The following is a 13,776-nucleotide window of genomic DNA, read 5'->3' on the forward strand; positions in this document are numbered from 1 at the left end:
ATAATTCCAGTTAGACCGAGGAGAGCTAATGGGGGTCTGGGAAAATGCAATGGCAGTAAAATGGAGAGAATCCATTAATTTCATTCACTGTAATATACCATACTCTGTGGATGCAAGAGACCAGACAAGTTCCTACTCTCAAAGACTTAATTTTTTTTATTATCTTTTAACTTTTATTTTAGTTTCAGGGTACATATGCAGGTTTGTTACATAGATAAAATATATGTCTTGGGGGTTTGGTGTACAGATTATTTTGTCACCCAGGTAATTGGTATCTGATAGGCAGTTTTTCGATCCTCACCCTCCTCCCTCCCATCCTCCACCCTCAAGCAGGCTCAGTGTCTATTGTTCCCTTCTTTGCGTCCATTTGTACTCAATGTTCAGTTCCTACTTATAAGTGAGAACATGCAGTGTTAGTTTTCTATTCCCACATTAATTTGCTCCAGCGCCATCCGTGGCCTCCAGCTCCATCCAGTGTTGCTGCAAAGGGCATGATCTCTTTTTTTATGGCTGCAAAGTATTCCATGGTGTATAGGTACCACATTTTCTTTTATCCAGTCTACCACTGATGGGTATTTAGGTTGATTCTATGTCTTTGCTATTAATATTTTGAATAGTGCTGTGATAAGCCTACGTGTGCATGTATCTTTATGGTAGAACAATTTATTTTCCATTGGGTATATACGCAATCATGGGACTGCTGGGTCAAATGGTAGCTCTGTTTTAAGTTCTTTGAGAAATCACCAAACTGCTTTCTACAGTAGCTGAACTAATTTACACTGCCACCAACAGGGTACAAGCATTCCCTTTTCTCTGCAACCTCACCAGCATGTTATTTTTTGAGTAATAGCCATTCAAAATTTACTAAATTTTTAAAATAATAGCCATTCTAACTGGTATAAGATGGTATCTCACCGTGCTTTTGATTTACATTTTTCTAATGATTAGTGGCATTGAGCATTTTTTCAGATTTTTTTGGTTGCATGTATGTCTTTTTTTGAAAAGTGTCTGTTCATGACCTTGGCCTACTTTTTAATGGGGTTGTTCATTTTTTGCTTCTTTCTTCTAGATTCTGGATATTAGACCTTTGGCAGATGCAAAGTTTGCAAATATTTTCTCTCATTCCGTGGGCTGTCTGTTTACTCTGTTGATAGTTTATTTTGCTGTTTAAAAGCTCTTTAGTTTAATTAGTTCTCATTTGTCAATTTTTGTTTTTGCTGTAATTGCTTTTGTGACTTCGTCATGAAATCTTTGCTGGGGCCTATGTCCAGAATGGTATTTCCTAGGTTTTCTTCAACAGTTTTTATAGTTTTAGGTTTTACATTTAAGTCTTTAATCCATCTTGAGTTAATTTTTGTATATGGTGTAAGGAAGGAGTCTAGTTTCAATCTTGAAGAATTTTAAACGGGCAGGTGATATGATCAAATAAGTTGTTTAGAAAGGACATTTTAAAATTTATTATTTTTATTTTTTGAGATGGGGTCTCACTCTGTCTGGAGTACAGAGGCATAATCATGGCTCACTGCAGCCTCGACCTCCTGGGCTCAAGGGATCCTCCCACCTTGCCTCTCAAGTAGCTGGAACTTCAGGTGTGCACCACCATGCCCAACTAATTTTTTTTTTTTTAGATGGAGTCTCGCACTGTCACCCGAGCTGGAGTGCAGTGGCATGATCTTAGCTCACTGCAACCTCCGCTTCCCAGGTTCAAGCGATTCTTCTGCCTCAGCCTCCTGAGTAGCTAGGATTACAGGTGCCCGCCACCATGCCTGGGTAATTTTTTATATTTTTAGTAGAAACAGGGTTTCACTATTTTGGCCAGGCTGGTCTTGAACTCCTGACCTCGTGATCTGCCCACCTCAGCCTCCCGAAGTGCTGGGATTACAGGCATGAGCCACCGTGCCCAGCCTAATTTTTTAATTTTTAATTTTGCAGAGACAGGATCTCACTATGTTGCCCAGGCTGGTCTCAAACTCTGAGCTCAAGTGATTCTCCCACCTTGGCTTCCTAAAGTGCTGGGATTATAGGCCTGAGCCACTGCACCTGGCCCTTAGAAAGAACATATTTTAAAACAATGTCAGGTAGAGGGAGGAGAAGAAAAGTAGAGAAGGGAAGATGGAGTCAGGTAGGTGAACTAAAAGCTGTGCTAGTGTTCTGGGTGGGAGGTGACGGTGGCCTGAACTGAGGCAACACAATGTGAAAACACAGAAGCAGAAACCGAAGCATCTAACAGACCTTTCTGACTGACAGACATCAGGATGGAGAAGAGTTGAGGAAGCGCTAGAGAGTTCTCCTGCACTGAGGCTGAGCCATTCTCTAAGACAAGCAGGTTTTGGGTGAGACCAATGATGACAGCAGGCTTGGATTTGCTGAATGAGGCATACAGATGAAAATGTCCACCACTTTTCTAATTAGGAAAGATCATTAGAAACTTACCTGTTTTTGTCAAATGATGTTCTAGCTAAACGAGACTGCAAAATAGCTGTTATCTATTAAAACAGAACCAGAAAAAAAGTATTTATAAGTATTTATAAGTAAAATATCAATACAAGTTAATTGACAATCAAAGACAGACATTGTTAAGAATACTTACCATGGCGGTTTGGTCACCCAATTTGTCAAGGCAGGATGCTCTGTGAAGCTACAGTATCATAAACAGACATGAATTTATTTTTTCTCTCAGATGATATGAAGTATTTCTTTAGAAGCAATGAGAAACAGCAATCATTCTGTTAACAGTCAAGATTACTTCTGATATACCTATGGCTTCTTCCTAATATATAGTTTTTAAACTCAACATTTTAAGTCAATCTGCTACATATTTAGAAAACAGATGATGATTTGGGTAAGGTATATAAATACGAAATTTATAAAAACAGTTTTTGCCTCAGTTTGCTTTGAATTTTCTACCCAGCAAGTGCTTACCTGAAGCAACGTCTCCACAACATCTTCCACTTTCCCGGGAACATCCAATTCAAAAACATATTCCATTTTGCCCTAACAAAAAGGGGAAGATATCAAAATACAGGAAGAGAAGAAGTGTGCCAAACTATGCTACTTTAAGAACATGTGTACAGAACCTGCTATGATAAAATCTGCATGTTTTACCTAGTGTAACTTCCCCACTGGAATGAGAGTTCTAGGGGAGCAAGTCTACATAATTTGCTGCTCTATTTATTATTTCCTTCCTTCTTCTAACTTTGGGTTTAGTTTGCCCTTCTTGTTCCAAACCCTTAAGGTATAGAGTTAGGATTTTTTTTTTTTTTTTTTTTTTTTGAGACAGAGTCTTGTTCTGTCGCCCAGGCTGGCGTGCAGTGGCACGATCTCGGCTCACTGCAACCTCCGTCTCCTGGGTTCAAGTGATTCTCCTGCCTCAGCCTCCCGAGTAGCTGGGGCTAGAGGTGTGCACCACCGCACCCGGCTAATTTTTGTATTTTTAGTAGAGACAGGGCGGGGTTTCACCATGTTGGCCAGGCTGATCTCAAACTCCTGACCTCAGGTGATCCACCCGCCTCGGCCTCCCACAGTGCTGGGATTACAGGTGTGAACCACCACACCTGGCCTAGAGTTAGGATTTTTATTTGAGGTATTTCTTCTTTTTTAACGTAGACATTTAATTCTATAAACTTCCCTGTTTATACTGCTTTTGCTGCATCACCTAAGTTTTGGTATATCATGTTTTCATTTATCTCAAGATTTTAAATTTTCTCTTTTTTTTTTTCTTTGACCCATTGGTTTTTTGAGAGAATGTTGTTTAATTTTCACATATTCTCAGTTTTCCTTCTGATGTTGATTTCTAGTTTCATTCCATTATGATTGGAAAAATATACACAATATTATTTTAATCCTCTTAAATTTGTTAGGACTTGTTTTGTGACCTCACATGTGATCTGTCCTGGAGAATATTCCATGTGCTTGAGAGGAAAGTGTATTCTGCTGCTGTTGGGTAGAAAGCTCTGCATATCTGTTAGGTCCATTGGGTCTACAGTGTTGTGCAAGTCCTCTGTTTCCTTACTGATGTCCTATCTGAACGTTCTACCCATTGTCGAAAGTGTGGTATTGAAATCTCCTACCATTATTGTGTTGCTATCTATTTCTCCCTTCAGTTCTATCAATGTTCGCTTCATATATTTAGATGTTCTGAGGTTGGGTACATACATATGGTGATGATTAATTTTATATGTCAGCTTGACTGGGCCATAGAGTGACCAAATATTTAGTTAAACATTATCCCTGGGTGTATCTGTGAGGATGTTTCTGGATGAGATTAGCATTTGAATTAGGAGACTGAGTAAAACAGATTGCCCTCCCCAATGTGGGTGGGCCTCATCGGATCCATTGAGGGCCTAAATCGAATAAAAGTCTAAATGGGAAAAACACTCTTTCTTCCTGTCTTCAAGCTGGGATATTGGTTTTCTCCTGCCTTCAGACTTGCATTCAGACTCAGACTAAACGCTATACCATTGCCTCTCTCCTGGGTCTGGAATTCTTGGCCTCTATAATCACATGATTCAATACCTTATAATAAATCAATTTCTCTCTCTGTATATATACATATATACAGCAATATACCCCTAGATGGGTGTATATGTCTGTATATATGTATATGCATATGTATGTATGTATGTATGTATATATATGTGTGAATGTATGTACACACACATCCTATTGGTTCTGTTTCTCTGGAGAACCCTGACTAATGCATTTGTAATTATTTATCTTTCTGATAAATTGACCCTTTTATCATTACATAATATCCTTCGTCTCTTGTGAAAGTTTTTTATTTAAAGCCTATCTTGTCTGATATAAGTATGGCTAGCTCTGTTGTTTGATTACCAAGCATGGAATATTTTTTCCCATCCTTTCACTTTCAGCCTATCTGTGTCCTTAAACCGAAAATGAGTCTCTTGCAGATGGCATATAGTTTTAGATCTTATTTGTTTTAATCCATTCAGGCACTCCATATTTTTTGATTGGGGAGTTTGATATACTTAATTATTGATAGGGAAGGACTTACTGTTGCCATTTTAACTGTTTTCTGTCTTGTAGCTCATTTGTCCTCTTTTGTCCTCTATCTTCCTTTGTGTTGACATTTTATCATGACATAGTTTGATTTCCTCCTCATTTTTTTTAAAATTTATTTTGATAGTTTTTGTGGTACAGGTGGTTTTTGGTTACATAAATAAGTTCTCTGAGGTTTTGGTTTACCTGTCACCTAAGCAGTGTACGTACCCAATATGTAGTTTTTTTATCCGTCATCACCACCCCCATCCTTCCCCCTAAGCCCCCAAAGTCCATTATATAATTCTTTTTTTTTTTTTTTTTTTTTGAGATGGAGTCTCACTGTGTCACCCAGGCTGGATGGAGTGCAGTGGCGCGATCTTGGCTCTCTGCAAGCTCTGCCTCCTGGGTTCACACCATTCTCCTGTCTCAGCCTCCCAAGTAGCTGGGACTACAGGCACTTGCCTCGCCCGGCTAATTTTTTGTATTTTTAGTAGAGACAGGTTTCACAGTGTTAACCAGGATGGTCTCGATCTCCTGACCTCGTGATCTGCCCACCTTGGCCTCCCAAAGTGCTGGGATTACAGGCATGAGCCACTGCACCCGGCCCCATTATATAATTCTTATGTCTTTGCATTCTCATATCTTAGCTCCCACTTATAAGTGAGAACATACAATAATCTGGTTTTCCATTCCTGAGTTATTTAACTTAGAGTAATGGCCTTTAGCTCCATCCAAGTTGCTCAAAGGCCATTATTTCATTTTGTTTTATGGCTCAGTAGTATTCCATGGTGTATATATATAGGACTTTTTCCACTTGTTGGTTGATGGGCATTTATGTTGGTTTCATATTTTTGCAATTGCAAATTGTGTTACTATAACTATGTGTGTGCATGTGTCTTGTTCACATAATGGCTTCTTTTTCTTTGGGTAGATACCTGACAGTGGGATTGCTGGATTGAAAGGTAGTTCTACTTTTAATTCTTTAAGGAATCTCTATACTGTTTCTACAGTGGTTGTATTAGTTTACATTCCTACCAGCAGTGTAAAAGTGCTCCCTTTTCACCAAATCCATGCCAACGTCTATTATTTTTTGACTTTTTAATTATGGCCATTCTCACTAAGTAAGGTGATACCTCATTGTGGTTTTAATTTGCATGTCCTTGATAATTAATAATGGTGAGCATTTTTTCATATGTTTGCTAGTTGTTTGTATGTCTTCTTTTGAGAATTGTCTATTCATGTTCTTTGCCTACTTCTTGATGGGATTATTTGTTTTTTGCTTGCTGATTTGTTTGAGGTTCCTCGTAGATTCTGGATGTTAGTCCTTTGCCGGATGTGTGGTTTGCGAAAATTTTCTCCCACTCTGTGGGTTGTCTGTTTACTCTGCTGGTTATTTCTTTTGCTGTGCAGAAGCTTTTTAGTTTAATTAGGTCCCGTTTATTTATTTTTGTTTTTGTTGCATTTGCTTTTGGGTTCTTAGTCATGAATTCTTTGCCTACGCCCCTGAAAACTGGAACAAGACAAGGTTACCCACTTTCACCACTTCTATTCAACATAGTAATGGAAGTCCTAGCCACAGCAATCAGACAGAAAAGAAAGGGCATCCAAATTGGAAAAAAGGAGGTCAAACTGTCACTGTCCACCAATGATATGACCATTTACCTAGAAAACTCTAAAGACTCATCCAAAAAGCTCTTAGATCTAATAAATGAATTCAGTAAATTCTCCAGATAGAAAATCAATGTACACAAATCAGTAGCACTGCTATACACCAACAACGGCCAAGCTAAGAATCAAATCAACAATTCCATTCCTTTTATAACAGCTGCAAAAAAAATAAAATAAAATACTTATGGTTATACTTAACCAAGGAGGTAAAATAGCTCTACAAGAAAAACTATAAAACACTATTGAAAGAAATCATAGATGACACAAACAAATGGAAACATATCCCATGCTCATGGATGGGTAGAATCAATATTGTGAAAATGACCATACTGCCTAAAGCAAGCTACAGATTCAATGCAGTTCTTATCAAGATACCACCATCACTCTTCACAGAACTCCCATCAAAATACCTTTGTCAATCAGAAACAATCCTAAAATCCATATGGCACCAAAAAAGAGCCCAAATAGCCAAAGCAGTACTAAGCAAAAAGAACAAATCTGGGGGCATCACATTATTCAACTTCAAAATATACTACAATGCTATAGTTACCAAAATAGCATGGGGCTAGTATAACAACAGGTACATAGACCAATGGAACAGAACAGACAACCCAGAAATAAAGCCAAATACTTATAGCCAACTGATCTTTGACAAAGCATACAAAAACATACAGTGGGGAAAGGACACCCTATTCAATAAATGGTGCTAGGAAAACTGGCAAGCCACATGTAGAAGAATGAAACTGGATCCTTATCTCTTACTTTATACAAAAATCAACACAAGATGGATCAAAGACTTAAACCTAAAACCTGAAACCATAAAAATTCTACATGATAATATTGGAAAAACTCTTCTTTAGTGTATCTTCTATAGGTATTTTCTCTGTGGTTACCATGGGTCTTATATAAAACATCTTACAGTTATAATAATCTCTTTTAATCTGTTAACAACTTAACTTCAGTCACATACAAAAACTATTCCTTCAGATACCTGTCTCCTTTTATGTTAATGATATCTCAAATTACATCCATTTATATTGTGTATTCATTAACACAGATTTCTAGTTATGGGGTTTTTATACTTTTGTCTTTTAATTTGTATACCAGAATTAAACTGATTTACACACCACCATTACAGCACTACAGTATTCTGTATTTGCCTTTATCAGCAAGATTTATAATTCCTACACTTTCATGTTGGTGTTTAGTATCTTTTTGTTTCAAATTGAAGGACTCACTTTAGCATTTCCTATAAAGCAGATCTAATGGTGGTAAACTCTGAGCTTTTGTTTATCTGGGAAAGTCCTTATCTCTCCATTTTTTTCAAGGACAATTTGCCAGATACAGTGTTCTTTGTTGGCAGGCATTTTTATTTGTTTGTTTTATTTGGTTTTGTTTTTACCATTCTGAATTTATCATCCAATTTTCTGACCTGCAAGCTTTCTGGTGAAAAATCTGATCATTTTGTGGGGGCTTTCTTCTGTGACCAGACACTTTTCTCTTGCTGCTTTCAAAATTAACTCTTACTTCTGATAATCTGATTATCATGTGTCTTGGTAAGGACATCTCTGAAGTCCTCCTATGTGGAAGACTTCTTAAATCTGGATGTCCATCTCCTTCCTCTGTTTTGGCAAGTTTGGGGCCATTATCTCTTTAAATACACTTTCTGTTTCTTTCTCTCTCTCTTCTCTTTCTTGGACTCGCATATTATGTATTTGGTCCACTTGACGGTGTGTCATTAGTACTTTAGGCTTTCTTAACTCTTTTTCATTCTTTTTTCTCTTAGCTCCCCTGACTGGATAATTTCAAAAGACCTGTGTTCCAGTTTGCTGATTTTTTCTTCTGATTTATAGTCTGTGCTGAACTCCTCTAGTGAACTTTTTAGTTAAGTTACTACATTCTTCTCCAAAATTTCTGTTCAGTTCTTCTTTATATTTTCTCTTTGTTAATATTCTCTTTGTTAAAATTCTCATTTTCTTCATGCATAATTTTCCTGAGCTCATTAAGCATCTTTATGACAATAGTTTTGAATTCCTTGTCAGGTAATTAATATAGCCCCTTTTCTTTAGGGTTGGTTTCTGAAAATTTATTTTGTACCTCTGATTGGACTATTTTTCTCTGATTCTTTGTGCTCCCTCTAATTTTGTGCTAATATCCACACATTAAAAACAACAACAACAACAACAAAAACAATTACCTCTCCAGTCTCTAAGGACTGGCTTCATACAGAGAAAGAGACCTTCATTAATCAGCCTGGCTAGAGATGCTGGAGGCCTCTCAAACCTTTTCTATGGAAGTGTCTTCTCTGGACTTATGCATGTAGATTCCTAATTAGAGAAATTTATTGGTTTCATTTTTTTCAGAAGCTTGGACTCCTTTGCTGTCTCTCGTGTCTAGATGTCTGCTGTACCACAGGTCCTTTGAAGCAGTAGCGTGCTACCCAGCTCTCTTTTGTTATCAGTGGCTCCAGGCATCTAGAGTATGCAGGGTTCCATCTGTACTCTGAGACAGAAGAGACAGAAGCCAGTCCCTTGGGCAGCTCCCCTGAAAAGTCAGAACTCTGGATGTATAGTCCAATTTTCTCTTTCCCTCTCCAGGGAGAAGCTAGAGGCTGGGAAATTTCTTCCCAATCATGTGGTGCTGTGTGGGACAGAGGATGGCCAGATAGTGACACAAATTTTTATACCGGCTTTGATGTGGTTAGTTTCATGCTCACCGGGGGTGCAGGATCCTCTTAACTGGTTTCCAGATTTCTCACAAAGGGAATTTGTCCATGTGTTGCTGAATCAGTGTCTTCACAGGAGGAAGGAGGGGCTAGAACTTCCTATTCTGCCATCTTGCTGCTGTCATTCCACCTCACCCTTTTTTTTTTTTTAATCTGAGAATGCTTTGGTATTATAATTCACATTGGAACAAAAGAGCTTTTCTTTACTCAGACAACCTCACTTTTATTTCCTTTCACATAATCTTTCAATGAACCATGTGCAGGTATGCAATTCAGCTGGCTCTCACGAGAGCCTTTAGAGGAAGGGCACCCCAGGTGAGTGGTTCTCAACTTGGGGGTAGGGTTTCCTACTGCCCCCAAAGGCTTTTGTCAATGTGTGGAGGTGCTGTAACAAAAACAAGGGGAGCAGTGTACGAGAGGCATTTGTTAGGGGAAAGAGCTGTAATATAAGTGACAGCCCCACACAATAAAGAACCATCCTGCCCAAAATGCCAAAAGCACCACTTGAGAATAATTAAATCTCAGTATTTATACTTTCTGACTAATCAGCACATGCAAGTATTTCTTGTCCGTAAAACCCAGAGGCCACTGAGTATACAATTTGTGCCGCCTAAGAGATTGCAGACTGGCCTGAAACTGAAATTCAGATTCAGCCTGTGGGACTATGTTTGCCCACAAATGGTGGCTTTTCCTAATTCACTCGGATGTCATTATAAGGAGCACTAGCCCTGTCCTTAGGTCCTGTAAAAACTCTCTTTTAGTAGGAGTTATCCCTCTACTATGTATTAAGCTGAAGCATAAAGAATTAAATTACAGAATAGTTAAATGAAATGTCTATGCTTAAGTGAAAGGTCCCAGGGAACCAGACATTGTATCCAAGTCTACTCATAGTTTCTACCTAATTAAGAGTACTTACAAATTATTATTGAGTTCTCAAATAAGAGTATGTTATAACCAGTAAATATTTCTAGAATATTTTTAAAACTAAATTTTTTAGTAACGTACTGGTAAATAAATTCTCAGTAACACCCAGTAAATAATCTTATAAATAATGCATATTCTGATTTTAATTTCTAACCTAATCATTTGGGTGTTTTTTTTTTAGGCACTTTTTTTTTTAAGTCAAAAAGTTAATTGAATTCTCTTGAAATAAAATCTGTGGCTCCCTTGGGTAATTTTGTTATAACTTCCAGGTAAGAAGCTTTTAAATACTCATTATTATTATATTTGATTAAAGATGTTAATAGAGTCACAAAATTTTATTGTTCAAAATGACTATATAAATTGCTGGAAATACATGAAAAGCTTTACTTACCCTTTCTATTTTATATGGTGCAACAACATTATGTTCTTTAATGAAATATACCTGAGCAAGAAAAAGCAATACTTGTAAAATAATAACCAAAATGTTTCATTGTAAAGAGTAACTACAAATCAGAACATTATCAATCAAAAGTTTTAAATCATTGTTATATAATCTCTATTTCCAGAAGTATTTGCTTTAGTATTAGTACTAGTATGGCTTTAAAGTACTGGTGTTAAAATAACAAATATCAAATTAAAAAGAGAATCATCCAGGCAACAAGATAGCAACAATTACAAGATAAATAAATACAGAAGACATTTTATGAATGCCATCACTTGCACCAAGTAACCAAGCAGACAGGGAAGGAGGCTAATCCAAGTGCTGATTTTTTAAGAAACGGGTAAAACAAAGTTACTGTGGTAGGAAATATGTTCACTAACATAAAGAAAACTTAGAGGTCATCTGGGCACATGGTGTTTTCACATGCACTGGGCCACTGGTCCTTACATAGTATATTAATAACTATGTGGAATAAGTGACACCATCTACCAGAGCCATCAATCTCCTTGTACCTGTACTTTCCTCACTGCTTTTCCTCCTGCAACAATGGAAGTTACCTGAGCTCTCAAAGTCCAGCCCCTCTACTAGGGCACAGAATGTGAACACCTCCCCAAACCTGTCAGATATTCAAAAGCTTTGCTCTTAGGATTATATACTGCACTCTCTCCCTTTTACACACACACACCCCCACAAACATACTTCCCCTTAATCTCACATCCTCCTTTTGCCATTTCTGTTCCCTTTTGTGGCAAAATTCATTGCAAGGGCTGTCTGTACCTTCCCTTGGGCCCATGACAGGTTTTCATCCCTACCATATTATTGAAATCACTTTTAGATGGTCACATGAAGTGCATAAGATCTCCACGTCACCATACAATCAATTCTTAAGTCTTCCTTGACTCTCCTTCTCAGAGCATGTGACAGAGCTGATGGCTCTTCCTGAAGCAGTTTTCCACATGGCTTCCTGGACACCTGCTCCTGCTTCTCTCCAACCTCACTGGCTACTCCTTCCGTCTACTTTTGGACCTTGCTTTGTTCCCAATCTCTTAAATTAGAGAGGTGCAGGGCCTTAGTTCTCACACCACTCTGTCCACTCTCAGTCCCCAGGAAATCTTATCCAGCCACAGGGCTTTAAAAAGTCTCTAGAAACTTCCAGCTCCCCAGTATGTCTTGCTAGCCTCTGCCTCCTCTCTGAAACCCAGATGGATGCATCCAAATGCCTGCTGGACGTCTCCCCTTGGAGTTCTCATGGCCATCTTAAATCTCACATCCTACTTGAAGCCTGCTCCTTCCCAACTCTCTTTATCACTATAAAGGGCACTACTGTCTATCTCATTGGAGTCATTCTTGACTGTTCCCTTTTATACCCTGCGACCAATCCGTCAGCACATCTGTTGGGTTTTCTTCAGAATATACCTAGACAATGACCACCTCTCACCATCGTGGTTCAATACACTTGGATTCCTGGAACACCCCAATAGGTCTCCTTGCTTCCACTCTTGCCCTGGTTTGTACAGCGTGTTCTCTACCCAGCCCCCAGAGAGACTTACATACAAATCAGACACACCCCTTCTCTTTCAGCTCTCCAGTGGCATTTCTCTCTGCGCTTTATTCTAAGTCCTTACCTTGGCCCACAAGGCCCCGCATGACACGGTCCCTGCCCCTATTCCAGCCTCCCTTGAGTGTTCTCCTTGACTCACGCACCCCAGGAGCACTCACACTCCTGTGCCTCCCACCTGTCAAGGACATGCCCACCTTCAGGCTTCTCCCCCACCACTCTCTGTACCTGGAATACCAGTGTTTGTGATAATTGCACAGCTCAATGCCTTAAGCCTTCTGAGTCTCTTGGTAAGTGGCCTCTTCTCAGTGAGGCATCCCTGACTACTCTTTCTAAAGCAGCATGAGAACATTCCTTATCATTTTCTATCCTTCTGTCTTGCTTTCATTTTCTTCATAGCATTTGTTACCACCTGACATTAGAGGAGACATTTGTTTATTGTCTGTCTCCCCCACTGAAAAGTAAAGTCCATGGAGCAAAAGGCTTCAGATATCTTGTTCTTCCCTAGATTGCCAGAGCCCTGAATATAATACTTATTGAATCCATGAGTCGAATCTGTTATTCATATAAACATGCACACACCCTTCTTTAGCAGCAACAAAAAAATTGGAAGCAAAGCTCTCTAAATATAAAGCACCGTACTATATTTCTGAGATCTTGTGACCTAGTATATATTCAAAAAACCCAAAAGTTGCCTGGTTGTATACTTGACACAGGAAGCTTTAAATAATGCTTGAAAGAGTAGCTTGTGTCGGGCTGGTTTTGAGCTGGTTTCATACAAGACCTCTTCTATAAACTATTAAAAAAGTAGGTGGAGGAATTTGGGGGCTTTATTCCTAAGCTCAAAGTTATTAAATTTTTACTAAAATAACTAAAATGTATAGTTTTATAATGAAAACCCTATCTTCAAGTCAAAAAGTACCTCTTCCTTTCAAGATATGGGCTTTGTGGAACCAGGTCATGAAGTAAAATGACACGATAGACATGAGAGTATGGAGGTGGACCAGAATTATTAATAACGATGTTTGGTCCCCAGAGCAGTAGATGGTTGTCACTGTCTTCACATATACCAGTTAAAACAACATGAAGTTGAGGAAGCCTGTGAAATGTTTTCTTCCTTAAAATTAATAGAATCATGGAAGGTAGATGTAGAAAATCAAATCATCTGCTACCTCTCAGCTTTCATAAAATAACTTTCAACACATGTTAAAAGTGTTCTGTGAACAAAAGGCTTCAGTGATAGAAAAAGTGCTGGGAGCATGCTCTTCCCCTCCCCATCTGCCTCCTAGGGACACTCTGGTCTGTTGCATGAGAGGATTTAAGTCAAGTTTTGAAGTCAGCAAGTCCGTGCATCTTTGTTCCCACAGCTTTTCTTATCCCTTATTCATCCCAGAACAATTCTTCTCTGAACACTTCAACACCCCAAGGAACGAGAGCTGTCAAGGCAACATCTGCTAA

At 38.6% G+C, this 13,776-nt stretch overlaps 1 protein-coding gene across 28 annotated transcripts in view; it reads right to left on the reverse strand.

Moving 5' to 3' along the window:
* Nucleotides 1-13,776, reverse strand: part of NSMAF (neutral sphingomyelinase activation associated factor) — a 76,350-nt gene that overhangs the window by 37,283 nt on the left and 25,291 nt on the right. For 26 of the 28 annotated variants that reach the window (NR_182088.1, NR_182085.1, NR_182087.1 and 23 more), the window contains 4 exons: nt 10,710-10,760; nt 2,923-2,994; nt 2,591-2,638; nt 2,434-2,486 (listed from right to left, as the gene is read on the reverse strand). The exons of 1 other annotated variant lie outside the window; for it this stretch is intronic. Coding sequence is in view for 21 of the 27 variants with exons in the window: in NM_001144772.1 (NP_001138244.1) it covers nt 2,434-2,486; nt 2,591-2,638; nt 2,923-2,994; nt 10,710-10,760 (224 nt within the window). In the remaining 6 variants the exon portion in view is untranslated. Of the gene's footprint in view, nt 1-2,433; nt 2,487-2,590; nt 2,697-2,922; nt 2,995-10,709; nt 10,761-13,776 lie in introns of all 28 variants that reach the window. One more of the 28 variants, NM_001412993.1, reaches the window with a different exon arrangement.

This window comes from Homo sapiens, chromosome 8 (genome assembly GCF_000001405.40).
Source record: "Homo sapiens chromosome 8, GRCh38.p14 Primary Assembly".
Lineage (NCBI taxonomy): Eukaryota > Metazoa > Chordata > Mammalia > Primates > Hominidae > Homo > Homo sapiens.